We start from the raw sequence: 26,606 nt of genomic DNA on the forward strand, positions 1-26,606 counted from the left end.
ACCCCATCTCTACTAAAAATACAAAAATTAGGCTGGGCGCGGTGGCTCACACCTGTAATCCCAGCACTTTGCGAGGCCAAGGCGGGCGGATCACGAGCTAAGGAGTTCGAGACTAGACTGACCAACATGGTGAAACCCCATCTCTACTAAATATACAAAAATTAGCCGGGCACGGTAGCTCACGCCTGTAATCCCAGCTACTCAGGAGGCTGAGGCAGGGGAATCGCTTGAACCCAAGAGGCAGAGGTTGTGGTAAGCCTAGAGTGCACCACTGCACTCCAGCCTGGGCGACAGAGTGAGACTCCGTCTCAAGAAAAGAGAGAGAGAGAGAGAGAAAAATACAAAAAGTAGCCGGGCATGGTGGCGGGTGCCTGTAATCCAGCTACCCGGGAAGCTGAGGCAGGACAATTACTTGAACCTGGGAGATGGAGATGGCAGTGAGCCAAGATCGTGCCACTGCACTCCAGCCTGGTTGACAGAGCGAGACTCCATCTCAAAAAAAAAAAAAAAAAAAAATGAGAAGGAGGCCAGGCACCCTAGGCCATACCTGTTTGTAGTCTTAGCACTTTGGGAGGCTGAGGCAGGAGGATCACTTGAGCCCAGGAGGTTGAGGCTGCAGTGAGCTATGATCATGCCACTGCACTCCAGCCTGGGCGACAGAGCAAGACCTTGTGTCCAACAACAGCAACAACAAATTTGAATGAATCACCACCCTTTGAACACCAGAATCTGCACGGCCATCCTCTTTGGGAAACCCTAGGGTTTCCGAGCCACACTGGGTCCATAGTCCCATCAAGTCCACTAACTGGAGTGAACACTGCAGGTGTGCGCCTTCTCTGAATTAACTTAGGCTGGCATCAGAATAACTGCAGGAGGGAGAACGGCCATCTTCCCCATTTCACAGACAGAAAACAAGGCCAGAGAGATCAAGTAACCTGCCCCAAGTTCCTTAGGAAAGTGGGAAGTGGGATTCAAACCCACGTTTACCCTGGTTGCAACCATACCCTTGGGTTGTGTTGGGCAGCCGCTGTGTCCTAATGATCTGGGGCCCAGCCTCTTCCTCATGGGCGTCACCCGCCTGGCCCCGGGTTCCCTGGAGACTCTCAGGGCTCTGGGCTCCTCTTCAGTGAAATGCAGCTGTACTGATAGTATCTCCAGCTCAGGCTGCTAGAGGGCTCAGGGCACTTGTGTATCAGGCCTTTGGCATGGCACTAGCCACTCAGGAAGCTTTATAAACCAGCTTTGGGGCCGGAGCAGTGGCTCATGCCTGTAATCCCAGCACTTTGGGAGGCTGAGGAGGGAGGATCACTTGAGCCCAGGAGCTGAAGACCAGCCTGGGCAACATAGCCATACCCCAGTCTCTACAAAAAATTTAAAAATTAGCTGGGCGTGGTGGCAAATGCCTGTAGTCCCAGCTACTCAGAAGACCGAGGTAAGAGCATCACTTGAGCCCAGGAGGTTGAGGCTGCAGTGAGCCATGATTACGCCACTGCTCTCCAGCCTGGGTGATGGAGCAGGAACCTCTTTCAAAAAAAAAGTGTCTTGGGTTTTGTATATGAATGTCAACCACAGAAACCTGCGGATCTAAGTAAAACTCCCACACAGGGTGTGGCTGGGCATGGTGGCTCACATCTGTACTCCCAGCACTTTGGGAGGCTTGGCAGGAGGATCACTCGATCCCAGGAGTTCAAGACCAGCCTGGACAACATAGTGAGACCCCATCCCTATTTAAAACACACACACACCTCCCACGTGCCATGCCCTCCCACCCTGTTGCTCCCATTCTCAGTAGTGATCAGTGTTCACAGTTTCATGGTGTCCTGGTATGTTTCCTCATATACCGATAGGATCGGAGACATATACGGTTCTTCTGCTATGAAATTTAAAATGCATATATCCTTTGACCCTGCAAGTTTACTTTTAGGAACTTCTCTAAGAGAGACAATTGCCCACGTGCAAAGTGAGCTTATACATGCTTATTGTTTTCCATGATGTTTTATAGCAGCCAAAGATGGGACATAATTATCCATTTTTAATAGACTCTTATAAAATAAAAATATTTTATTATTTAAGAAAATAATAAATCTGTCGGCCCAGCTACTCGGGAAGCTGAGGCAGGAAGATCACTTGAGCCCAGGAGATCGAGGCTGCGGTGAGCAAAGATCGCTCCACTGCATTCCAGCCTGAGTGATAGGAGTGAGACCCTATCTAAAAAAAAAAAAAGTTGTGACGGCCAGGTGTGGTGGCTCATGCCTGTAATCCCAGCACTTTGGGAGGCTGAGGCGGGCACATCACGAGGTCAAGAGACTGAGACCATCCTGGCCAACATGCTGAAACCCCCCTCTACTAAAAATACAAAAATTAGCTGGGCGTGGTGGCACGCGTCTGTAGTCCCAGCTACTCTGGAGGCTGAGGCAGGAGAATCACTTGAACCTAGGAGGTGGAGTTTGCAATGAGCGGAGATCATGCCACTGTACTCCAGCCTGGTGACAGAGGGAGACTCTGTCTCAAAAAAAAAGAAAAAAAAAAGTAACTGAAAAACTTCTGTATCCAGTAGGAGGTTCCAGAAAGGACAATGTATAAAATTCATGAACAGAAACTAGTAGTGTTTGAACAGAAGCCAGGTGGAAGATGTAACAGGATTAGCCGGGCGCAGTGGCTCACTCACGCCTGTAATCCCAGCACTTTGGGAGGCCAAGGCGGGTGGATCACCTGAGGTCAGGAGTTAAAGACCAGCCTGGCCAATATGGTGAAACCCCATCTCTGCTAAAAATACAAAAATTAGCCGGGGGTTGGGGGGCACGCCTGTAGTCCCAGCTACTTGGGAGGTTGAGGCACAAGAATTGCTTGGACCCAGGAGACGCAGGTTGCAGTGAGCCAAGATTGCACTGCAGCCTGGGTGACAGAGTGAGACTCTGTCACAAAAAAATAAAGATATAACAGGATTGGCTGGGCGCGGTGGCTCACGCCTGTAATCCCAGCACTTTGGGAGGCTGAGGCAGGCGGATCATAAGGTCAGGAGATCGAGACCATCCTGGCTAACAGGGTGAAACCCTGTCTCTACTAAAAATACAAAAAATAAGCTGGGCGTGGTGGCAGGCGCCTGTAGTCCCAGCTACTTGGGAGACTGAGGCAGGAGAATGGCATAAACCCGGGAGGCGGAGGTTGCAGTGAGCTGAGATTGCACCACTGCACTCCAACCTGGGCGACAGTGAGACTGTCTCAAAAAAAAAAAAGCAAAAACAAAAAAGATATAACAGGATTATTCTGCCAAGGTTAAGGAAATAAATAAATAAGCTAAAACAGGAGAAAAGACATCAATGGAAGAGGCAAGATACTAGAAATAAGTTGAATAAGAATCTCATAACCAGCCTGGGCCACATGGTGGAACCCTATCTCTAAAAAAATTACAAAACTTAGCCAAGCATGGTGTCAACGTGCCTGTCGTCCTAGCTACTTGGGAGGCTGAGGCAGGATAATTACTTGAACCCGGGAGGCGGAGGTTGCAGTGAGCTGAAATTGAGCCACTGTACTCCAGCCTGGGTGACAGAGCAAGACTCTTTTTCAAAAAAGTCTGGGGGTGGCCCCGCCCTGTGAGAGATGTTTTTCCAGCAGTCACTGTGGGTTCTGGGTTGGGGTGATACACAAGCCTGACCCTCCCCAACCCCTGCCCGCAGACGAAGGCCTTCATCCACCACGAGCTGCTGGCCTACCTATACTCCTCGGCAGACCAGAGCAGCCTCATGGAGGAGTCGGCTGACCAGGCACAGCGGCGGGACGACATGCTGCGCATGTACCATGCCCTCAAGGAGGCGCTCAACATCATCGGTGACATCAGCACCAGCACTGTGTCCACGCCTGTACCCCCGCCTGTCGATGACACCTGGCTCCAGAGCGCCAGCAGCCACAGGTCCGGAAGCCTGGTTCCCCTACCCTCAAGCATTCGGCCTGCAGGTTCCTGCCCTCCCTGTGTGTCCTGCAGGGTCCTGGCAGGAAACAGGACACAGCCCAAGGGTGGCACCCAGGGCTGGGCACTGTGGGAGCTGCTGCCCTGCTGAGGCCGGAGGAGGGAGAGAAGGGGTATGGGGGCGAGCCAGCCCTACAGCTCTAGGGCAGGACCCTGTGAATAAATACCCCGCCTGCCCTCTGCTGGTGCCTTCCATTGGCACAGCCCAAATGGAAGCTGGGGTAAGAGGCTGGAGGGGCAGCAGCCACAGGAGAGAGATGAGCCTCCTGGAGCACAGAGAAGGGCAGATGGGAGGCTCTGGAGGGGCAAACGCAAGGCGTGGCCAGAGCTGCTGCCGCCCCTGAGTTGTCCATTGAGGCCGTCGGGCAGGGAACCTCAGAGGGGGCTGCCTTGCAGAGCCCTGGGGGAGCCATGGAGTTCCTTAAGGGGAGGATATCGCACCCAGGCCTGCAGGTGGCAGGGACTGAGGCCCAGGAGGGAATCTGGATGTCTGGACAGGGCTTGCAGGTTCCACGGCCCCTAGAGATATTAGGGCTTGATCTGGAGGACTCTGGAAGTGTCTTTGGCTGTGAGGGTGGATCCCAGGCCCAAGGCCTGAGGGGGCCCTGTGAGTGGGAAGTGCCTGAGGGGGCCGAGGGCAAGGGAAGGTGGGACTGGCGCTCAGGTTGGGGTGGGAGGATCCCACTGCGCCTGCGCTGTCCCCATAGCCAGCCCCCACCTCAGGTTCTGGCAGCCACAGTGGCATGGCGGGGGCTCCTACTCCATCTGTATCTGTAGCTCACACCCTCTCCTTCCTCACAGCCCCACTCCACAGCGCCGACCGGTGTCCAGCATACACCCCCCTGGCCGGCCCCCAGCAGTGAGGGGCCCCACTCCAGGGCCCCCCCTGATTCCTGTTCCCGTGGGGGCAGCAGCCTCCTTCTCGGCGCCCCCAATCCCATCCCGGCCTGGACCCCAGAGCGTGTTTGCCAACAGTGACCTCTTCCCAGCCCCGCCTCAGATCCCATCTCGGCCAGTTCGGATCCCCCCAGGGATTCCCCCAGGAGTGCCCAGGTAAGGCCAACCCCCTGCCCTCCACCCCAACTGCCTGCACCCTGGGGTCTCTCCTCCTGTCTCACTTCCTCCCAGTGAGCTCTCACTACGTGCCCAGCTGCTGGAGTGGAGGAATCGTCCTCATCCCTATTTGGCTTGCGAGGAAACAGGCCCAGAGAGGCCAAGAGGCTTGTTCAGTGTCACAGAGTAGCGGAGCCCTGGTGACTCCGGGGCTCCCAGCTTGCCCTCTGCCTACTGGGGTGTGCCACCAGGCAGCTGGGGAACCCTCACACTGGGCACCTCCTCCCACTGTTTACCTTCTTCTCCTTCCTGCTCCTGCCTGCCTCAACCTACCGTGGGCCAGGCTTTATTCTCCCCACTTCTCCGGTGGGGAAGCTGAGGCCCAGGGAGGGCAGGGGGCTCACTGAGGGTCAAACAGCAGGCGAGTTGATGCCTAGGTTTGGCACTCCTGCCCGACACCCTGGTGGCTTGCGGAGGTCAGCCTGGGAACACCCTGGGGTGGTGTGTGGGTGGGGGCTGGGTCCTCAACCCAGGCCTGCCTCTTGCTCCCGGCCTCACTGCCGTCTCCCCCTCCCCACCTGTCTTTATTCTCTTTGCAGCAGAAGACCCCCTGCTGCGCCCAGCCGGCCCACCATTATCCGCCCAGCCGAGCCATCCCTGCTCGACTAGGCCTCGAGGGGGGCGTGCTCTCGGGGGGGCCTCACGCACCCGCGGCGCAGGAGCTTCAGTGGTCTGGGGCCCTCCGCCGCCCCTATGCTGGGACCAGGCTCCCAGTGGGCAGCCCTGGCCTCTTCCTTAACGCTGGCCCCGGTCCAGGGCCGGCCCCTGTGCCTGGCTGGACACCGCACTGCGCAAAGGGGCCCTGGAGCTCCAGGCAGGGGGCGCTGGGGTGTTGCACTTTGGGGGATGGAGTCTCAGGGTGGCAGAGGGGGGACCAGAACCCTTGACACCATCCTGAATGAGGGGTCCAGCCTGGGGGGGACTCTACCAAGGTCTTCTTGGGCTGGGAAAGCCCATGTAGGGCAGGCCTTCTATAAGTGCGGGCACCAAGGGCGCCTACATCCCCAGGCCTTGCTGGGGTGCAGGGGTATATCAACTTCCCATTAGCAGGAGCTCCCCAGCGGCAAGCCTGGCCCAGTGGGCTCGGTAGTGCCCAGCTGGCAGGCCTGAGGTGTACATAGTCCTTCCCGGCCATATTAACCACACAGCCTGAGCCTGGCCCAGCCTCGGCTGCCAGAGGTGCCTTTGCTAGGCCCGGAGCCGTTGGCCCGGGCCGGCCTTGCCCTATTCCTCTCCTCCTCCTCCTCCTGGGTCCCCCAGGGTGGCTGGGCTTGGGCTATGTGGGTGGTGGTGGCGGGGGGTCTTGGGGGCCTCTCAGCTCCCGCCCATGCCTCCCTGATGGGTGGGCCCAGGGCGGCCTCTCTCTGAGGAGACCTCACCCACTCCTCGCTCAGTTTGACCACTGTAAGTGCCTGCACTCTGTATTCTATTAATAAACTAAAATAAAGGGAAGACGCTGCTGGTGGCTGCTGTGTGGGCCTCTTGTGTTAGTGTTCAGGCTGGGGACATGGGTGCCACCTCCATCAGGCCTCCCATAAGGATGCCCAAGTCCCTGCACTCATAAGTGCCTCCCATCTCCCTGAGGGCTCTGCTTTCGGGGGTGTCACCTTTCAGAGGAAGCCACTCGATACAGGGGAGAGCTTTTACTTTCCTTAGCATGTGAGGAGTGGGAGCAGATATTCTCTGACCCCCTGCACACCCCCACGTGCACAGGCCTGGCTGCTGCCTGGTGAAGCGGGGACCCCAGCGCTCCACCCCCTTCCTACCCTCAGGCCCTGCTTCTCTCACCTCGTGGGGAAGCCCAAGCCTCGTGGCCCAACTGGGGCTCAGTTAAACTTTGCTTTCTGATTTTTCTCTTGTGCCAGGCGACCACCTCCATCGGCTCCCGCACGACCTTTCTTCTGAGCTTCGTGGGAGGCCCCTCCCACCTGTCTGGCTGCCCCCTCGGGGGCCGGTCTGTCCTGGCTGGTGTCCCTGAGCCCCAATCAGCAGGCTCTTGTGATTTTCTGACCATAATTTATTGACTCCAATGCCCAGGCCACACCACCCTTTGTTATAGGAGGCTTCTGCCTAGACTTTGGCCGGGCCATCCCTCATGCCTGTGTGGGGCCCCTGCAGGAGAGGGGCCGGGGCAGGTGGTCTTCCAGGCCCCCTTCCTGGCATTCTGTTACCAGACCTCAACCTGGCTTGGAGGGCCCAGGTTTCCTTGTTAGGCCCTGCCCCGCACCAGGCAACGCTAACACAGGATGGGAGGCTTAGGCTAAGGCACATTTACAGTAGAGGGGCCAGGAAATCCGAGGCTCACGTTCCAACGCTGCAGTGCCCACCATGTGAGATTTCCAGGACCGTCGGTGCAGCCACTGAGCCGTCCCTTCTACAAGCCAGAGGTGTTCCCTGCCCGCTGAGGACGGAAGGAGACTCATGGGGCCAGACCGCAGGCCCTGACTGCACACTCCCGTTTTGGCAGGAAACTAAAATTGGGGAGGGACCCCCAAGTCTCATATGCACACACCCTGCTGCCCCTCCTTTGTCCCGTTCTTCCTTCCATGGCAGGGGCTACGTGGGCACCGGGCGCTTGTCCTGGAAGAAGCGCTTGAGCGTGCAGACCTGCAGCACAGCCACCAGCAGCAGCACCGCCACGTTGACAGCTGACCAGAAGTTGACCCGCTCCAAGTTGCCCTCTTGCAGGTTGCGGTCACGTGCCTCGAAGGCCCGCAGTAGCGTGAGCATCTGGATGCTGCGCTCCAGCCGGGTCCGCATGGTCTCAATGGACTCCTACAGGGCAGCGGGAGGGGAAGGGTCAGGCCTCCCTCCACCCATCAGGGAGCAGAGACCAAAAAAACCGGGGGATACGGAGGGAGGCTGTATTAACCCTGGGAGGTACAGCTGCAAACACAGACTTGTTCAGGCTAAGTTCAAATCCTCACCCTGCCACTCACTGGCTGTGACCATGAGCAACTTAATTAACCTATCTGAGCCTGTTTCCTCTTCTATAAGCTTCCAAATTGCTGTGAACATTTAATGCCTAAATAAATGTACAAGGATGAGCATGGTGGCTCATGCCTATAATCCTAGCACTTTGGAAGGCTGAGGTGGGAGGATCGCTTGAGCCCAGGAGTTTGAGACCAGCCTGGGCTACATGGCAAAACCCCATCTCTACAAAAAATTAGCCAGGGGTGGTGATGTGCAACTGCAATCCCAGCTACTCAGGAGGCTGAAGCAAGATTACACCTGTAATCCAAACACAGGAGGATCACTTAAACCCAGGAGTTCAAGACCACCCTAGCCAACATGGTGAAACCTCGTCTCTACAGAAAACAAAAAATTAGGCATGGTGGTGCACACCCGTAGTCCCACTGAGGTGGCAGGATTGCTTGAGCCCAGGAGTTTGAGGCTGCAATGGGCTATGATCACACCACTGCACTCCAGCCTGAGTGACACAGCAAGACCTTGCCTCGCCGTAGCTCACACCTGTAATCCCAGAGCTTTGGGAAGCCAAGGCAGACAGATCCCCTGAGGTCAGGAGTTCGAGACCAGCCTGGCCAACATGGTGAAACCCTGTCTCTACTAAAAATACAAAAATTAGTCAGTCAGGCGTGGTGGCACAGCTATTCAGGAGGCTGAGGCAGGAGAATTGGCTGAACCTGGGAGGCAGAGGTTGCAGTGAGCTGAGATCGTGCCACTGCAATCCAGCCTGGGTGACCAAGAGAGATCTGTTAGAAAATAAATAAATAAGTAGTTAATTAAAATACTAATAAATGTACAGAACATATTTGCTTGTGGTTAAGAGCATAGTTGCTGAAACCAGCATGGGTTCAATACCAACTCTGCTAGTTGGTCTGTGTGGCCGTGAGTTGCTCAGCCATCTTGTATCTCACTTTCTCCACCTGTAAAATGGGGATGACTTGAGCACAGGGTCTGCTTCACAAGGTGGTTTGGAGATTTACGGTATGAGTTATTTATGATATGAGTTCCTTAAACCTTTACACCAGGGTTTATACCTAGAAATGAACTACTTTTTTTTTTTTTTTTTTTTTTGAGACGGAGTTTTGCTCTTATTGCCCAGGCTGGAGTGCAATGGTGCGATCTCGGCTCACTGCAACCTCTGCCTCCCAGGTTCAACTTCCACCTCCTGGGTTCAAGTCATTCTCTGGCCTCAGCCTCCTGAGTAGCTGGGATTACAGACGCCCGCCACCACACCCGGCTAATTTTTGTATTTTTAGTAGAGACGGGGTTTCACCATGTTGGCCAGGCTGGTCTCAAAACTCCTGACCTCAGGTGATCCACCCGCCTCAGCCTCCCAAAGTGCTGGGATTACAGGCGTGAGCCACCGTGCCCGGCCTGAAATGAACTACTTATTTTAAGAGCTGCTACTCTTACTATAATTCAGTTGGAGGGCACAACTACGGAGGGGAGGCTGGGTCAGCCCAAGGGGGGCACCCCAGGTGAATCCTAGAGATCTGGAAGGAGTGGCCCCAGCGCAGCCTGGACACACCTTGATGTCCTCCATTTTAACATCCAGCATCTCCTCGGGCTCCACAGCCTCTGCCCATCCTTCGACCTCCTCGTCATCCTGGAGGCTGTCAAAGATCAGTTCAAAGAACACCAGCTTCTCGGAGATGGTGCTGAAGGAGTTGTCAAAGCACAGCTTGTAGTCCCCGGCCTCCGTTGGCTCCACCCTGGGCAGACAGACACACAGACATGACCCAGGGTGGCCAGCCAGCCGACTCAGCGGGGCAGTCAGGGCGGTAACCTGAGGCCGCCTGGGAAGGGCAGGGCTGTAACTGAACCCAGGCAGGCATCAAGACTGAACTCACGTGTGTACCCCATCAGCCTTGCGGGACTCGCTGACCAACAGCACGCCCTGAGGGCTCTCCAGCGTGAAGTCCACGTCCAGTCCAGCACCTCCGATCACCTGGGGGGCAGGTAAGAGCGGGTGGAGGGCTAGCGGTAGGCCAAGGGCGCCTGCCGAAGAGGGCTACGGCTGAACCAACACTGATCAATACAGACCACCAAGGGCTTACCTGAACGGCGGCACACCCACACCCGCCCCAACCTGTCCCAGTGGCTGCGCCCCTTGCCTCCACCCTCATTGATATGACAGCTTGGGGTCCATACTTTCAGCTGACCACGCACCTACCAAAAGTACTTAATGGACGTTTACCTGACCACGCCCCTGGTTGGCTCCGCCTCCGAAAGAGGATAGGCCCAGCCTTTTTCCTTAGTCTAACCCCCGAGAAAGGCCTGTGTGGGCAACGCCCCCGCAGTTGACCTATCAGCACTATCGCCACGCCCACCAGCCAGAGTCCTGTCCTCTCAGAGGCTCCCTATACTTATCGATGGCCCCGCCCCCTCTGGATCTCTTACTCTAGCCCCGCCTGCTTCATTACTCCCTCCCCTTCCGCTCCCACACACCGTCCCCGCCCCATCTGTCCATCTCTTTCTAGCTCCGCCCCCGCGCTCCCAAGCACGGATTCCTCCCCCTTCCTCCTAAAGCGCGCCTCGCCTCGACCGCTTGGCCACGCCCCCTCTCCCTGACTCTGCTGGCCGCCCAGCCCGCGACCCTCTACCTGGTATTCGGTCTCGAGGCTTGCGTTGGCCGGCGCGGACTGGTAGAAACACTGCTTCCTCCCCGCCGGCAACAGGAACGTGAACTCACCGTCCTGGATTGGCGGGGGCCCCGCCCCTCCCACCTCCACTGGTGGCATTAGTAGCCACAAGGCCAGGGCTAGGGCCGCGCCGGCCGCCATCATCCGGGTCACCCTCTGGTCTGCAAAGGGGTCGCGGCTCCTTTAAGCGCTAGCCCTGCCCCGGTGCTACTCGGCGGAGCTCATTGGCAGTGGCTTCTGTATGTTGTCCGTAACCAGAGGTGCCAGGAGTGAAGGACCCCCCCACTAGAGGGCAGGCGGCCCGAATGAATGCCTGATGTGCCCAGAAACACTCAACCGTCTGGGAATATTTTTCTCAAAGGCTTCGGCTCTCTTCTCGGCCGCTGGTGGAGGAAAATTACAAAAATAAGTGCCATGATGGCGCATCTTTTGTAGGCAGTAGCTAAGACAACTAAAGTTACAGGCGGCAGGGTCCTTTTTAGTCACCTCCACGTGGTTTTCCCAGAGTGCGCCGCGCGTGACAACCTTTGGCGGGACCGACGTGGTGGAGTGGACCCAAAAATAGCGTCTAGGCGTGGCCCTGTACGCGACCCGTAGGGCTCGCCTATAAAAGGGCTGGGGCGGGGCGGAGATACCTGTGGCGTCGTGTTTTGCTTGCTCTGTGAGCGTGGTCCAGGTTCGACGCCTTTTGCGCCTTAGAGGCATCAGCGTATCAGTTTCCTCGTAAGTCGGGAGTGATGGAACGACCACCCTGTAGTGCGGCTGTGAGAATTGAGATGAGGCTTGGTTCATATTGAGTGCTCAGCTTTCCTGGCTTATAGACAGTGGAGGGGCGTGGCCCCACCATGCACCCCAAGGGTCTCAGACTCAAGGGCCAGCAGGTAAATAGAGCCATTACAGTAGCCTCGGGTCAGAAAAACGACAGCCCAGGTAGGAAGAGATAAGGACAGTGTGGGACTGGGAGCCACGTTGCCTGGTTCAGCTCCTGCCCCACCCATTACTTGAGGCATTCCCTCTGTTGAGCCTCAGTTTCCTCTTCTGCAAAATGGGGATAATAGGCCTACGCTACTGGGCTGTCTTTAGGATACGTGAAATGCTTGTTGAGTGCTTGCTTCCGCAGTGCGTGGGACATCACAGGCCCTCAGTAAATAATAATCTGTTATTTGGTTCCCGTCTAAACATAAACTGTGTACAGGGAGATGTTTAGTCTTCAAAGATAAACCCGGAAAAGGTTGGCAGGTGATGACAAAGATCCCTCAAATACAGCTGGCTGTTGTCAGCACTTTCCTGCATTTGGAGAATTTGGGGAAGTAGCTCTTTGTAATATCAGTTTGGTATTCCTTTTCACTCCAACTTTTTCTATCATTTACACTCACTGCTTGGACAATTTGAAGTAACAGTGGAGAACGGGTGACTCCTTTTCTTTTTTTTCTTTTTTTTTTTAATTTTTTTTTCCTTTTTTTTTTTTTTTTTTTTTGAGACAGAGTCTCCCTCTGTTGCCCAGGCTAGAGTGCAGTGGCGCGATCTCGACTCACTGCAACCTCCGTCTCCTGGGGTTCCAGCGATCCTCCTGCCTCAGCCTTCCGAGTAGCTGAGACTACAGGCACGTGCCACCACACCTGGCTAATTTTTTGTATTTTTAGTAGAGAGGGGGTTTCACCATGTTAGCCAGGATGGTCTCGATATCCTGACCTTCTGTTCCATCCACCTCGGCCTCCCAAAGTGCTGGGATTGTAGGCGTGAGCCACTGCACCCGGCCGGATTTTTTTTAGGACAGGGTCTTGCTCTGTTGCCCAGGCTGGGGTGCAGTGACGCCATCATGGCTCACTGCAATCTCTACCTCCTGGGCTCAAGTGATTCTCCCACCTCAGCCTCCTGAGTAGCTGGGACTACAGGTGTACACCTCCATGCCTAACTAATTTTTTGTAGACATGAGGTTTCCCTGTGTTGCCCAGGCTGGTTTCAAACTCCTGGGCTCAAGCCATCTGCCTGCTCCCTCACCCTCCCAAAGTGTTGGGATTACTAAAATTGATTTTTTTAAATACAGTAAAATTCACATTGCATAAAATTAACAATTTTAAGGCCGGGTGTGGTGGCTTACACCTGTAATCCCAACACTTTTGGAGGCCAAGGCAGGCGGATCATGAGGTCAGGAGATCGAGACTATCCTGGCTAACACAGTGAAACCCCGTCTCTACCAAAAATACAAAAAATTAGCCAGGCGTGGTGGCGGGTGCCTGTAGTCCCAGCTACTCTGGAGGCTGAGGCAGGAGAATGGTGTGAACCTGGGAAGCGGAGCTTGCAGTGAGCCCAGATGATGCCACTGCACTCCAGCCTGGGCGACAGAGCAGGACTCCGTGTCAAAAAGAAAATAAAAATAACCATTTTAAAATTAACAATTCAGTGGCATTTAGTACATTCCAGTGTTGTGCAGTGACTTCTATGTAGTTCCAAAACATTTTCATCGGCTCAGTAAAGATCCCTGTACCCATTAAGCAGTGATTCTGAAACGGCCTCGTTGTCTTGAGTAACACCCGGGGTCGTTGTCTCACAGCCACGAAGAACAAGGACCAGGACACACAAAAGAATGAGGTTGAGAACGAACGTTTAATAGGCAACGGAGAGTATAGCTCTCTGCTACAGAGAGGAGTCCCAGAAAAATGGGTTGCTGGTCCATAGCAAAATACAGGGGGGTTTATAGATGAGCTGGTGAGGAGACTTAGCCTGATTTACATAGGGGATGAAAAACTGGTTAGAACAGGTGTGCCATTTGCATAGGGTGTGAATTTCTGGTATCTGCTAATCTTTTATTATGCAGCCGGGGTCTCTACCTGAGCTGTGCCACATCGCCCATTTCTTTTTCTTTTTTTTTCTTTTTTTTTTTTGAGACAGAGTCTTGCCCTGTCACCCAGGCTGGAGTGCAGTGGCGTGACCTAGGCTCTCCGCAACCTCCGCCTCCCAGGTTCAAGGGATTCTCCCGCCTCAGTAGCTGGGATTACAGGTGCCTGCCACCACGCCCAACTAATTTTTTGTATTTTTAGTAGAGACAGGATTTCACCATGTTGTCCAGGCTGATCTTGAACTCCTGACCTCATGATCCGCCCACCTTGGCCTCCCAAAGTGCTGGGATTACTGGTGTGAGCCACCTTGACCAGCCCCATGTTGCCCATTTCTTAGTTCCTGTACACGTGGTAGCAAAAAAGGGGAGATGGAGCCTCCGTGTTGGATATGCCTGGCTCCCAGGTAGCCATTTTCTGTTGGTGCAGCTGCCAGCATTCCCACGTGCAAGCTTCCAGCTTCCTTATCTATGTTTGCAGCTTGAGTTTTCAGGCTGCTATTTATTAGAAAAGAAATGATATCAGGGGCTACTTTCTGTTAGAAAAGAAATTCTGCTGAGGACTCTTTGCCCTCACTGCCTGCCTAAATACTTTCTATCTCCTGTATCAACTCCTCATTACACTTTGCCCCCCGCCTCTCAACTAGCTATGTGCTTTTTGCCTCTAGGGATTTACCTACTCTGGATATTTCATATGAATAGAAGCAGACAATGTGTCACCATTTGTATTGAACTTCTTTTACTTAGCATGTTTCTAGGGTTAGACCATGTATCAATATTTAATTCCTTTTTATGGCTGAGTAGTATTCTATTGTATGTACATACCACAATCAATTTTTCTTTTGTTCTTTTTTTTTTTTTTTTTGAGACAGTCTCGCTGTGTTACTCAAGCTGGAGTGCAGTGGTGTGATCACAGCTCACCGCACCCTCCACTTCCCGAACTCATGTGATCCACCTCAGCCTCCCAAGTAGCTGGGACTACAGGTGCACGCCACCACACCTGGCTAATTATTTTTCTGTGGAGACAAGAGGTCTCCCTGTGTTACCCAGACTGGTCTTTAACTCCTGGGCTTAAGTGATTCTCCTGCCTCAGTGCCCAAAGCGCTGAGATTACAGTTGTGAGTCACTGTGCCTGGCCCCACAATTTCTTTAGCCATTCATTATTGAGGGACAGTAGAGTTATTTCAACCTTTTAGCTATTGTGAGTACAGCTGCTGTTAACATGTATGTATGTGTATTTTATTACTTGCGTTCAGTTCTTTGGGGTATAGATCTCGTGGTGGAATTGCTGGATCCTATGGTATTTCTATGTTTAACTTTTTGAGGAACAACCAAAGTGTTTTCCACAGTGGCTGTACTGTTTTCCATTCCCACCAACCACGTATGAGGGTTCCAGTTTCTCTACATCCTCACCAACACTTGTTACTTTGCATTTTGTTTTTTGTTTTGTTTTGTTTTTGAGACAGTCTCACTCCTTCACTTTGGCTGGAGTGCAGTAACTGCAATCTCCATCTCCCAAGTTCAAGTAATTCTCCTGCCTCAGCCTCCCAAGTAGCTGGGATTACAGGCACATGCCAACACACCCAGCTAATTTTTGTAATTATAATAAAGACAGATTTTTGTTTTTGTTTTTGTTTTTGTTTTGTTTTGTTTTGAGACGGAGTCTTGCTGTATTGCCAGGCTGGAGTACAGTGGTACCATCTTGGCTCACTTCAACCTCTGCCTCCCAGGTTCAAGTGATTCTTCTGCCTCAGCCTCCTGAGTAGGTGGGACTATGGGCGCATGCCACCATGCCCAGCTAATTTTTGTATTTTTAGTAGAGACGTGGTTTCACCATGTTGGCCAGGATGGTCTCAATCTCTTGACCTCGTGATCTGCCTGCCTCAGCCTCCCAAAGTTCTGGGATTACAGGCGTAAGCCACCGCGCCCAGCCTAGAGACAGGTTTTTGCCATGTTGACCAAGCTGGTCTCGAACTCCTGACCTCAAGTGATCTGCCCACCTCGGCCTCCTAAAGTGCTGGGATTACAGGCGTGGGCCACTGTGACCGGCCCTGTTTTGTATTTTTTGTTTGTTTGTTTGTTTGTTTATTATAGCCAACCTAGTGTATGTGCATTTCCCAAATGATTAGTAAGGTTGAGCATCTTCTTATCTGCTTCTCGGTGGTGTGTATATCTTCTTTGGAAAGGTATCCATTCATGTCTTTTGCCCATTTAAAAATTGGGTTGTTCATCTTTTTGTTGTAGGAGGTTTTTTAAACACATATTATAGAGAGGAAAAGATAGAAAAGTGAAACAAAAAAACTTCTCTAGCTGGACCCTCATGCTTGTAATCCCAGCACTTTGGAAGGCTGAAGCCAGAGGATCTCTTGAGCCAAGGAGTTTGAGACCAGCCTTGGCAACGTAGAGAGACTCTCCCGCTCCTACCACCATCTTTACAAAATAATAAAATATTAGCCAGTTGTGGTGGCATGCACCTATAGTCCTAGCTACTCAGGAGGCAGAGGTGGGAGGCTCGCTTGAGCCCAGGAGTTCAAGGCTGCAGTGAGCCATGATTGGCCCACTACACTCCAGCCTGGGTGACAGTGAGACCCTGTCTCATAAACACACACAAAAAAATACCCTCTCGCGGCCGGGCACAGTGGCTCACGCCTGTAATCCCAGCACTTTGGGAGGCCGAGGTGGGTAGATCACAAGGTCAGGAGATCGAGACCATGTCCCTTGAGTAAACAAAACCAAAAACTCTCCTCCCTAATTATTCACCAAATATTTACTGAGCCTCTGACAGTGAATAAAACAGACACTGTCAAAGCCAGGTGGAGTGGCTCACGCCTGTAATCCCAGCATTTTGGGCGGCCAAGTTGGGAGGATCTCTTGAGCCCAGGAGTTCCCGACTAGCCTGGGCAGCATAGTGAGATCCCATCTCCACAAAAACATTTTTTAAAAAATTAGCTGGGCATGGGAACAATCCCATTTCCTGAGGGAATGGGAGGATCTGTCTACTTTTCTTATCCTGATTCAAATGGAATGCCAGTGTGGCAACTCCTAGGATTTGTCACGAATGGGAAGCCAAGTGCCATCTTCAAAATTTCAGGTCTTAAATCTGGAGAAGGAAGCCAACATCCTTTTGGAGCCATGAATATTGTCCGAACTCCATCTGTTGCTCAGATTGGAATTTCAGTGGAATTATTGGACAGTATGGCTCAGCAGACTCCCGTAGGTAATGCTGCTGTATCCTCAGTTGACTCATTCACTCAGGCCCAGATGACACCAAGCCCATCTGAAATGTTCATTCCGGCAAATGTGGTTCTGAAATGGTATGAAAACTTTCAGTGATGACTACCACAGAACCATCTCTTGGAAAACATAATTTGAATAAAATACTTTTTTTTTTTTTTGAGACGGAGTCTCACTCTGTCACCCAGGCTGGAGTGCAGTGGCGCGACCTTGGCTCACTGCAAGCTCCGCCTCCCGGGTTCACACCATTCTCCTGCCTCAGCCTCCCGAGTAGCTGGGACTACAGGTGCCCGCCACCATGCCTGGCTAATTTTTTGTATTTTTAGTAGAGATGGGTTTTCACCGTGTTAGTCAGGATGGTCTTGTTCTCCTGACCTCGTGATCCGTCGGCCTTGGCCTCCCAAAGTGCTGGGATTACAGGCGTGAGCCACTGCGCCTGGCTAAAATAATTTTTAATGGAAAAAAAAAAAGTAGCTGGGCATGGTGGCACACGCCTGTAGTCCCAGCAACACAGGAACCTGACTCAGGAGGATCGCTTGAGCCCAGGAGGTTGAGGCTGCAGTGAGCCATGATTGCACTACTGCACTCCAACCTGTGCAACAGAGAGAGACCCTGTCTCAAAAAAAAAAACCAGAATTCCAGGTTGTAGATTCCTTCACCATATTGACTCAGGATTTTTCTTAGCCACTTTGCCAGCCGGGGACATCTATGGCCGGCAGTGCCCCCTACCACCCGCAAGGGCATGACACTGGAGGCACCCTGCCCACTCAGCCCACCTGTGTTATAGCTTGTATCTGCATTCGGCAGTTCTCAAGCTCTTGTCCTGCATCCAAGAAGAATGAGGAAATGCTGACAATTGAAGGGTGAAGATGGGAGGAGAATTTTTTTGAGCGACAGAACAGCTCTCAGCAAAGAGGAGATGTGGGGGTGTGGTTTATCTTTCAGTGTGGCTGGATCCGGGGCTTTTTATGGACTCAGAATGGGGAATGTGTGCTGATTGGATTGTGAGTGTGCAAAAAAGGTTAAAGCGAAGACACCACTCAAAGGTGGGTCCAACAGTATAGAAAACCAATTAGGAAAGGGTAGGTATATGCAAACTAGGTGGAGGGTGGGGATCAATCTGAGGAAAGCACGCCAAATAGAAGACAGATTCTCTGTCCAGTCCCTGGATTTGACTTGTAGCTTTGCTTTCAGGCTTTAAACTGTCTTTGGCTTGGAGGTGGGGTTTCACCAGGGACCTGCCCCTATCTGCCTAGGCATTTGTCTGCCTCTTGCCACTATCAATATCAATCAGAAGGCTTCCCTGACCCTGCTGTAGCTGGGTTGAGCCCCCTCGGCCACTGCCTCTGTTACTGCACTTCACCACTGGACTCTCCTTGTCTTCTTGTCTGACTCTTGAACGCTGAGCTCCTTGAGGACAGGAGCCATTTTCATTCATCCTAATGTCTCTGGCACAATTCTGGGAACATGATGATGCTCAGTACTCAGTTGGTGGAAAAAATAAGCCAGGAATCTCTCTTAACTCCATCTCCTGTACACCCAGTATACAGCCACAGAAGTGGCTTGAATGGATGTTTTTTTTCGCTGTCAGGTCAGATGATTGAGAAATATTTATGATGTGCCAAGCATGGTGGGAGACACGGGACACTGCAGGTAACAACACAGACCCCATCCTTGTGCTCCGAGAGGAGGAGGAAAGCTGTGTTAAGATATCATGAAGGCTGGGCATGGCGGCTCATGCCTATAATTCCAACACTTCGGGAGGTGGGCGGATCATTCGAGGTCAGGAGTTCAAAACCAGATTGGCCAACATGGTGAAATCCTGTCTCTACTAAAAATCCAAAAATTAGCCAGCCGTAGTGGTGCATGCCTGTAATCCCAGCTACTCAGGAGGCTGAGGCAGGAGAATCACTTAAACCCGGAAGATGGAGGTTGCAGTGCAGCCGAGATTGCGCCACTGCACTCCAGCCGGGGCGACAAAGTGAGACCATGTCTAAAAAAAAAAAAGGCTGGACACGGTGGCTCACGCCTGTAATCCCAGCACTTTGGGAGGCTGAGGTGGGTAGATTACGAGGTCAGGAGTTCAAGACCAGCCTGACCAACATGGTGAAACCCTGTCTCTACTAAAAATACAAAAATTAGCCAGGCATGGTGGCACACGTGTAATCCCCGCTACTCAGGAAGCTGAGGCAGGAGAATCGCTTGAACCCAGGAGGTGGAGTTTGCAGTGAGATGAGATCGCACCACTTCACTCCAGCCTGGGTAACAGAGTGAGACTCCGTCTCAAAAAAAAAAAAAAAAAAATTTAAAAAGCTAGGCGTGGTGGCTCACGCCTGTAACCCCAGCACTTTGGGAGGCCAAGGTGGGAGGATTGCTTGAGCTCAGGAGTTCATGACCAGCCTGAGCAACATAGCAAGACCCTGTCTCTGTTTAAAAAAAAAAAAGAAAGGCCGGGTGCAGTGGCTCACGCCTGTAATCCCAGCACTTTGGGAGGCTGAGGCGGGCAGATCACAAGGTCAGGTGATCAAGACCATCCTGGCTAACACAGTGAAATCCCGTCTCTACTAAAAAATACAAAAAATTAGCCGGGCGTGGTGGCGGTTGCCTGTAGTCCCAGCTACTCGGGAGACTGAGGCAGGAGAATGGCGTGAACCCAGGAGGTGGAGCTTGCAGTGAGCCGAGATTGCGCCACTGCACTCCAGCCTGGGCGACAGAGCGAGATTCCATCTCAAAAAAAAAAAAAAAAAATGAAGGAGGCTGGGCGTGGTGGTGGCTTACGCCTGTAATCCCAGCACTTTGGGAGCCCAAGGTGGGAGGATTACTTGAGCCCAGGAGTTTGAGACCAGCTAGGCAATGTAGTGAGACCCTTTCTCTACAAAAAAAAAAAAAAAATTTAGCCAGGTGCCGTGCATGCCTGTGGTCCCAGCTACTTGGAAGGCTGAGGTGGGAGGATCACTTGAGCCTGAGAGATGGAGACTGCAGTGAGCCATGATTATACCACTGCACTCCAGCAGCCTGGGCAAGAAAGCAAGACCTTGTCTCCAAAAAAAAAAAAAGGCATGAGGATGAATTCAATAAATTCAAGAATATTCTGTGTACTACCTTGACCAAATTGTATTAATATTTAGAGAATATTATACCAAACAACTACACCGTGTACTTGAATTTCTAGCGTACGTACAATGTGGATCGAGATACCCTGCACCATTCTAAAAAGTCAGTACATTTCAAAGTATTGAAATTATATGACCACAAAGGAGTTAAAAATCATTAACAGTAAGCTGCCCCCCAAAAAGCCCAAGTACTTGGGCATTAAGCAACACACATATTCTCTGGATCATAGAAAAGAAAGCACAATGGAAATAAGCAAATATTTCTAACTTAATGACGCTCAATATATGAAAATGTGTGGCATGCAGTTAAAACAGTTCTTGGAGGGAAAGGTGTACCTTTAAATGCTTGTATTAGAAGATAAAGGTGGGCCGGGTGCGGTGGCTCACGCCTGTAATCCCAGCACTTTGGGAGGCCGAGGCAGGTGGATCATGAGGTCAGGAGATCGAGACCATCCTGGCTAACATGGTGAAACCCCATCTCCACTAAAAATACAAAAAATTAGCCATGCATGGTGGTGGGTGCCTGTAGTCCCAGCTACTCAGGAGTCTGAGGCAGGAGAATGGCGTGAACCTGGGAGGCAGAGCTTGCAGTGAGCCGAGATCACGCCATTGCACTCCAGCCTGGGCGACAGAGCAAGACTCCGTCAAAAAAAAAAAAAAAAAAGAGGGTTTAAAGTTAATGAGCTGCCTGTAATCCCAGCACTTTGGGAGGCTGAGTCAGGAGGATTGCTTGAGCCCAGGAGTTCAAGATCAGGCTGGGTAACATAATAGGACCCTGTCTCTACAATTTTTTTTTTTTTAATTAGCCAGGTGTGGTGGTGGACACCTGTAGTCCCAGCTACTCAGGAGGCTGAGATGGGATGATCTCTTGAGCCCAGCAGGGTGAGGCTGCAGTGAGTCATGATCATGCTGCTTCACTGTAGCCTGAGCAATAGAGCAAGACCCTGTCTCAAAAAAAAAATGTTTTTTTGTTGTTTTTTTTTTGAGACAGAGTCTCGCTCTGTTGCCCAGGCTGGAGTGCAGTGGCATGATCTCAGCTCACTGCAAGCTCTCCTTCCCGGGTTCACGCCATTCTCCAGCCTCAGCCTCCCGAGTAGCTGGGACTACAGGCACCCACTACCACATCTGGCTAATTAAAAAAAATTTTTTTTTAATAAAAAGAGTTTATATAAGCATCCATCTTAAGAAGCTATTAATACAAATTTCTGCTGGTGAAGTTTAAATTTAAAAACAAAACATGAGCTAGGAAAAGAAGAGCCAATTGAACATAAGGTAACCAGAAAAAAGAAAAGAATAAAGTCAAGTCAAAAGGCAATAAAATAGAAAATAAAACAACAAATCCAAACTGTGGCACTTTGAAAAGATCAATAACAATGATTAGCTCCTAGGAAGACCGATAAGAGACAAGGAGACTTCACTAATTTATGTGTCAGGAATGAAAGAAGGAACATCACTACAGACCCTACAGACATTAAAAGGATAGTAAGGGGATATAAATAACTTTACACCAATACATTTGACAACTCTGATGAAATGAGCAAATTCCTTGAAGATACAAGCATGCCAATTGCAATAAAGGAATATTACAGGGCACTGTGGGAGAATTTAGCTAGGGGATTGTTCTAAGTCCAGAGGGGCCTGGAAAGTTTTCCCAGAAGTGCTATTTAAACTGAGACCTGAAGGAGAAGCAGGATTTGACCAGGTTGACAGAATTGTGTTCCAGGCCAGGGAAATAGTGTGTGCAAAGGCCCTGAGGTTGGATTGAACTTTCTGTGTCCAAAGAAAAAAGTTTACTCTAATGACGCATTTTGGTGTTTGATGACCACATGCCACATCCTTCTTGGGTCCAAACCCCCAAGCAAACCTGACTGGCTTGAACAGAAATGTTTAAAAAGATAAATGCAAACCCAGTAGTAAGAGAAACTTGGAAGTTTCTGGGCTGTAAACAGGAGGCAGTTTATCCTGTGAACTATATCACAAACTATATCCAGAATTGATCTGGAACTGGTATTCCCTTTCATGTGGCTGATCAAACTTCTGAGTCTTTTTCCTCCCTGTAACTTTACCTTGTGAGCATGCACTACCCACTAGGCGTTGCATTTCCTACTACAAGTTCTTTGAATCTAATGTCCACTGCTCTTTTTTTTTTTTTTTTTTTTTGAGATGGAATTTCACTCTTGTTGCCCAGGCTGGAGTGCAATGGCGCGATCTCAACTCACCACAATCTCCATCTCCTGGGTTCAAGTGATTCTCCTGCCTCAGCCTCCCGAGTAGCTGGGATTACAGGCGTGTGCCACCACGCCCGGCTAATTTTTTGTATATAGTAGAGACGGGGTTTCACCACGTTGGCCTGGTCTCGAACTCCTGACCTCAGGTGATCTGCCCACCTCAGCCTCCCAAAGTGCTGGGATTACAGGCGTGAGCCACCACGTCTGGCCTAATGTCTACTACTCTTAGCCCCATTCTGCAGAGCAGTATACTGAAGCCTCAAAGGAGGTAAGCCATGCCTGAGGTCACAGAGGCCAAGCCCTAACCACCATGTCCTCCCACTCCTGCCCATATTTGTTTAAATGTTGGTGCTGGTTAGGCTATGGTTTGTGTCTTGGGCATGGGTTTCCAAACATCCCACTGCTGTCACCCTGTCTCATTCCCAGGAGTTCTCTTAGAAGGAGAGACAAAAGGCTGGGCACGGTGGCTCACGCCTGAAATCCCAGCACTTTGGGAGGCTGGGGCGGGCAGATAATGAGGTCAAGAGATCGAGACCATCCTGGCCAACACAGCAAAACCCCGTCTCTACTAAAAATACAAAAATTAGCTGTGCATGATGGCTCCTGCCTGTAGTCCCAGCTACTCAGGAGGCTGAGGCAGGAGAATCACTCGAACCTGGGAGGTGGAGGCTGCAGTGAGCCGAGATCGCTCCACTGCACTCCAGCCTGGGCAACAGAGCAAGACTCTGTCTCAAAAAATAAAAATAAAAAAAGAGGAAAAAATTGTGAAAACCACCTAAACATCTCATCCATTTTTTTCCCCTCTAATCTGCAGAACCGCAACCAGAGAGGTGCGCGGGTCTGATGTGTGTTTGGGGAAGGGGTGGGGAGGGGAGAGAGTCCCTTTCAGTGCCCAAGCCTGTGTGTGCAACTTCCTGCCAGTGAGGAAACTCTCAGCTCGAGAATCAGCCCTGGTTCTCCTTTCCCCGATCTGGCCTCACAGGAGGAGTTGGCGGGGAGCCTTGGGCCCCTCTGGCCTCAGCCGGATTTCCCAGCCAAACGCAGAGAGAGATGCCCTGGACCATCTTGCTCTTTGCAGCTGGTGAGTCTGAAGCCCCCCTCTCAGATCCCCCACGCCTTTCCCCCCATCCTCTGTCCACCTTGCCGCTCCAGGGGCAGAAACCAGTGCAGGGGCTGCCGTTCTCAGGGCATCGAGGAGGCTGAGCCCTTGGCAGATGGGTTTTCCCCCTGAGCCTTGGAAACTCTCCAGTAGTGTTGGTTTTTTCTTCTTAGGCTCCTCATCACCCCCAAGTTTATGAATATCAGAAATATCACCCCTCTGGAGTCAGCTGTGCCCACACCCCATGATTCAGCCCCGCTTCGTCTCTGAAGGCTCCTTGAGTGCTGGGGCAGCAGGAGGGTCTACCTAGGGGGATATCAGTGTGGCAGGGGTGGGTGGGGGTTGGAGGCTGGACGAGGGAGGGTTTGTATAGACCTCACCTGGCCAGACACTCTGCTCAGAAGCCTGTGGGCAATCAGGAGAGAGATGGATCCCCAGGAGACCATCCTGCAGGAAGCCGTGCTCCAAAATCCGTATTCTTCACCCAAGCCTGGGAAAGGAGATAAAAGTCCTCTGCCCTTCCTTCTCCTGCCCTCCCTCTCACTCACCCCCTCCCCTTCCTGCCACCCACCTCACTCACCCCCTCCCTCCTGCCATGATGGCCTCCTTGCTGCTCCTTTTTTAATATTTATTTTTATTTTTAAATAGAGACAGGGTCTCACTGTGTTCTCCAGGCTAGTCTCAAATTCCTGGGCTCAAGCAGTCCTCCCACCTTGGCCTCCCAAAGTGCTGGGATTACAGGCGTGAGCCACTGCATCAGGTGTTTGCTCCTCCTTAAACACCCCCATTCCCCTTCCATCCCCTGGACCTTTGCCTATGCTGTTCCCTCTGTTGGAATGCCCTTCCCCAGCTCTCCAAATGGGTCCTTCCTCACCACTCAGGACTCAGCTCGTGGGAGGCCAAGGTGGGAGGATCACTTGAGGTGAGGATCTGGGCAACATAGTGAGATCCCATCTCTACACAAAATAAGCAAAATTAGCTAGCCAGGTTCACCAGCCTGGCCAACATGGTGAAACCCCGTCTCTACTAAAAATATAAAAATTAGCCAGGCATGGTGGCACATAGTCCCAGGTACTCAGGAGGCTGAGGCCACTGTACTCCAGCCTGGGCGACAAAGCAAGATTTTGTCTCTAAATAAATAAATAAAGTAATAATAAATTAAATAAAAAATAAGAGTATAGTTGTGTTGCTATGTAATAACCAATGCTATTATTGAAAACTGATGGCCAGGCATGGTAGCTCACGCCTATAATCCCAGCACTTTGGGAGGCCGAGGTGGGGGGAGTCACACGAGGCCAGGAGTTCGAGACCAGTCTGGCCAATATAGTGAAACCCCATCTCTACTAAAAATATAAAAATTGGCCAGGCATAGTGCCACATGCCTGTAATCCTAGCTACTTGGGAGGCTGGAGAATCACTTGAACCCGGGAGGTGGAGGCTGTAGTGAGCCGAGATCACACCACTACATTCCATCCTGGGTGGCAGAGTGAGACTCCGACTCACAAAAAAAAGAAAAAAGAAAAGTAATTCAACTACAGGGAGCCGTCACCATGTGCCAGGCAGTGTGGGGTAGGGTCACTAGCCTCCTGACTCACAGAAAACACAAGGCTGAGGGAGGGTGGTCTACTTGCCCGAGGCCACATAGCCAGGGCAGCCTCCACTCTCACCACGCACCCACCCACCTTACCCTCTGCATTGCAGGCTCCTTGGCGATCCCAGCACCATCCATCCGGCTGGTGCCCCCGTACCCAAGCAGCCAAGAGGACCCCATCCACATCGCATGCATGGCCCCTGGGAACTTCCCGGGGGCGAATTTCACACTGTATCGAGGGGGGCAGGTGGTCCAGCTCCTGCAGGCCCCCACGGACCAGCGCGGGGTGACATTTAACCTGAGCGGCGGCAGCAGCAAGGCTCCAGGGGGACCCTTCCACTGCCAGTATGGAGTGTTAGGTGAGCTCAACCAGTCCCAGCTGTCAGACCTCAGCGAGCCCGTGAACGTCTCCTTCCCAGGTAAGGCCCTTCTATGGGATCTCACTGCCGGGGGCTTAATTTTCTCACATGGACCTCTTGTGTGTACTGTTGACTCAGAGGCCTTCCCAGAAAAAGCCAGGCTTACACCCTGCCAGGACTTACTCGCCTTTCCTTTTTCAATCTTCTCAGCCAGCCCAAAAGGGGATTTGTTGGTTCACTGAGCTTAAGTCAGCTCACAGGGCCGACTTCAGGTATGGCTAGATCCAGGTGCTGAAAGCTGTCAGGGACCATTTGCCCCATCTCTGCTCCACATTCTTCTCCGTCTTATTGTCAGGCAGCCCGTCTCCCTCTTGGTGCCAAAATTGGTGCTGTGATTCTTCCCATTTTGCAGATAAGGAAACTGAGGCACAGGAGGTACACACCTTGTACACAGGTAACAGGTAGCCAGTCTGGGATGCCATTGCCTTCCAAAAACCATGAATTACACCTCCGTGACATACATTACTTCCCCTCTTGGCCACATACTTTTTTTGTTTGTTTGCTTTGAGATAGTTATGCTCTTGTTGCCCAGGCTGGAGTGCAGTGGCACGATCTTGGCTCACTGCAGCCTCTGCCTCCTGGTTCAAGCGATTCTTCTGCCTCAGCCTCCTGAGTATCTGGGATTACAGGTGTGTGCCACCATGCCCGGCTAATTTTTGTATTTTTAGTAAAGACAGGATTTCACCATGTTGGCCAGGCCAGTCTCGAACCCCTGACCTCATGATCCGCCTACCTCAGCCTCCCAAAGTGCTGGAATTACAGGCATGAGCCACTGCACCTGGCTTTTTTTTTTTTTTAAATGAGACAAGGTCGTGCAGACTAGAGGGCAATGGCACAATCATAGCTCACTTCATCCTCCAATTCCTATCCTCAAGTGATCCTCCCACCTCAGCCTCCTAAGTAGCTGAGACTACAGGTGTGCACCACCATGCCCAGCTAATTTAAAAAATTATTTTAGAGATGAGGGTCTAAAATGTTGACCAGGGCCGGACATGGTAGCTCATGCTTGTAATCCCAGTACTTTGGGAAGCTGAGGTAGGTGGATCACCTGAGGTCAGAGCTTAAGACCAGCCTGGCCAACATGGTGAAACCCTATGTCTATTAAAAATACAAAAAATAGGCTGGGCGTGGTGGCTCACGCCTGTAATCCCAGCACTTTGGGAGGCCGAGGCGGGTGGATCATGAGGTCAGGAGATTGAGACCATCCTGGCTAACAAGGTGAAACCCCGTCTCTACTAAAAATACAAAAAATTAGCCGGGCGCGGTGGCGGGCACCTGTAGTCCCAGCTACTCGGGAGGCTGAGGCAGGAGAATGGCGTGAACCCGGGAAGCAGAGCTTGCAGTGAGCCGAGATTGCGCCACTGCAGTCCGCAGTCCGGCCTGGGCGACAGAGCGAG

The 26,606-nt window shown here is 51.9% G+C and overlaps 3 protein-coding genes, 1 non-coding gene and 1 pseudogene across 14 annotated transcripts in view, besides 3 other annotated features; 4 read left to right on the forward strand and 1 right to left on the reverse strand.

Annotated features, from left to right (window-relative positions):
* DNM2 (dynamin 2) overlaps window positions 1-6,545 on the forward strand; it is a 113,825-nt gene extending 107,280 nt beyond the window's left edge. For 4 of the 5 annotated variants that reach the window (NM_001005360.3, NM_004945.4, NM_001005361.3 and 1 more), the window contains 3 exons: window positions 3,678-3,910; window positions 4,769-5,020; window positions 5,620-6,545. In NM_001005360.3, the coding sequence (NP_001005360.1) occupies window positions 3,678-3,910; window positions 4,769-5,020; window positions 5,620-5,689 (555 nt within the window). In that variant the 3' untranslated portion in view covers window positions 5,690-6,545. The remainder of the gene's footprint in view (window positions 1-3,677; window positions 3,911-4,768; window positions 5,021-5,619) is intronic. The other variant, NM_001190716.2, reaches the window with a different exon arrangement.
* On the forward strand, window positions 3,615-3,677 carry MIR6793 (microRNA 6793). Its single transcript, NR_106851.1, has one exon. It is a non-coding gene; the product is annotated as a microRNA 6793 (primary transcript).
* TMED1 (transmembrane p24 trafficking protein 1) lies at window positions 6,709-10,854 on the reverse strand. Of its 3 annotated transcripts, none has more exons than NR_104015.2 (4): window positions 10,245-10,382; window positions 9,898-9,995; window positions 9,576-9,759; window positions 6,709-7,855 (listed from the first exon to the last, which is right to left on the reverse strand). NR_104015.2 is itself a non-coding variant. In NM_006858.4 (4 exons), exons 1-4 carry the CDS (start codon window positions 10,831-10,833, stop codon window positions 7,637-7,639), a joined length of 684 nt encoding a protein of 227 aa, NP_006849.1. In that variant the 5' UTR covers window positions 10,834-10,854; the 3' UTR covers window positions 6,709-7,636. The 3 variants fall into 3 exon arrangements, 2 of the variants coding, with proteins under 2 accessions (NP_006849.1, XP_006722694.1); NM_006858.4 differs by lacking the exon at window positions 10,245-10,382 and adding an exon at window positions 10,651-10,854; XM_006722631.4 differs by lacking the exon at window positions 10,245-10,382 and adding an exon at window positions 10,105-10,233.
* Window positions 9,352-9,989: an enhancer, noted in NCBI's record as "H3K4me1 hESC enhancer chr19:10945386-10946023 (GRCh37/hg19 assembly coordinates)". NCBI's record gives its function as "activates a minimal SCP1, AML or CMV promoter by ChIP-STARR-seq in naive H9 embryonic stem cells {active_cell/tissue: H9 hESC(naive)}" and the evidence as "EXISTENCE:reporter gene assay evidence [ECO:0000049][PMID:30033119]".
* Window positions 10,627-11,263: an enhancer, noted in NCBI's record as "H3K27ac-H3K4me1 hESC enhancer chr19:10946661-10947297 (GRCh37/hg19 assembly coordinates)". NCBI's record gives its function as "activates a minimal SCP1, AML or CMV promoter by ChIP-STARR-seq in primed H9 embryonic stem cells {active_cell/tissue: H9 hESC(primed)}" and the evidence as "EXISTENCE:reporter gene assay evidence [ECO:0000049][PMID:30033119]".
* Window positions 11,029-11,128: an enhancer, noted in NCBI's record as "active region_13994". NCBI's record gives its function as "activates an Ori minimal core promoter by ATAC-STARR-seq in GM12878 lymphoblastoid cells {active_cell/tissue: GM12878}" and the evidence as "EXISTENCE:reporter gene assay evidence [ECO:0000049][PMID:35858748]".
* Window positions 11,327-26,606, forward strand: part of C19orf38 (chromosome 19 open reading frame 38) — a 33,106-nt gene continuing 17,826 nt past the window's right edge. Inside the window, exons 1-3 of one of the 4 annotated variants that reach the window (XM_005259846.6) lie at window positions 11,327-11,570; window positions 23,083-23,181; window positions 24,901-25,209. In XM_005259846.6, the coding sequence (XP_005259903.1) occupies window positions 23,151-23,181; window positions 24,901-25,209 (340 nt within the window). In that variant the 5' untranslated portion in view covers window positions 11,327-11,570; window positions 23,083-23,150. Of the gene's footprint in view, window positions 11,571-23,056; window positions 23,182-24,900; window positions 25,210-26,606 lie in introns of those variants that run through there. The other 3 variants (XM_005259847.6, XM_047438562.1, NM_001136482.3) reach the window with 3 other exon arrangements.
* HIKESHIP2 (HIKESHI pseudogene 2) lies at window positions 16,482-16,854 on the forward strand (annotated as a pseudogene). Its single transcript, NR_170259.1, has one exon. The product of NR_170259.1 is annotated as an HIKESHI pseudogene 2 (transcript).

Source organism: Homo sapiens, chromosome 19 (assembly GCF_000001405.40).
Source record: "Homo sapiens chromosome 19, GRCh38.p14 Primary Assembly".
NCBI classification, from domain to species: domain Eukaryota; kingdom Metazoa; phylum Chordata; class Mammalia; order Primates; family Hominidae; genus Homo; species Homo sapiens.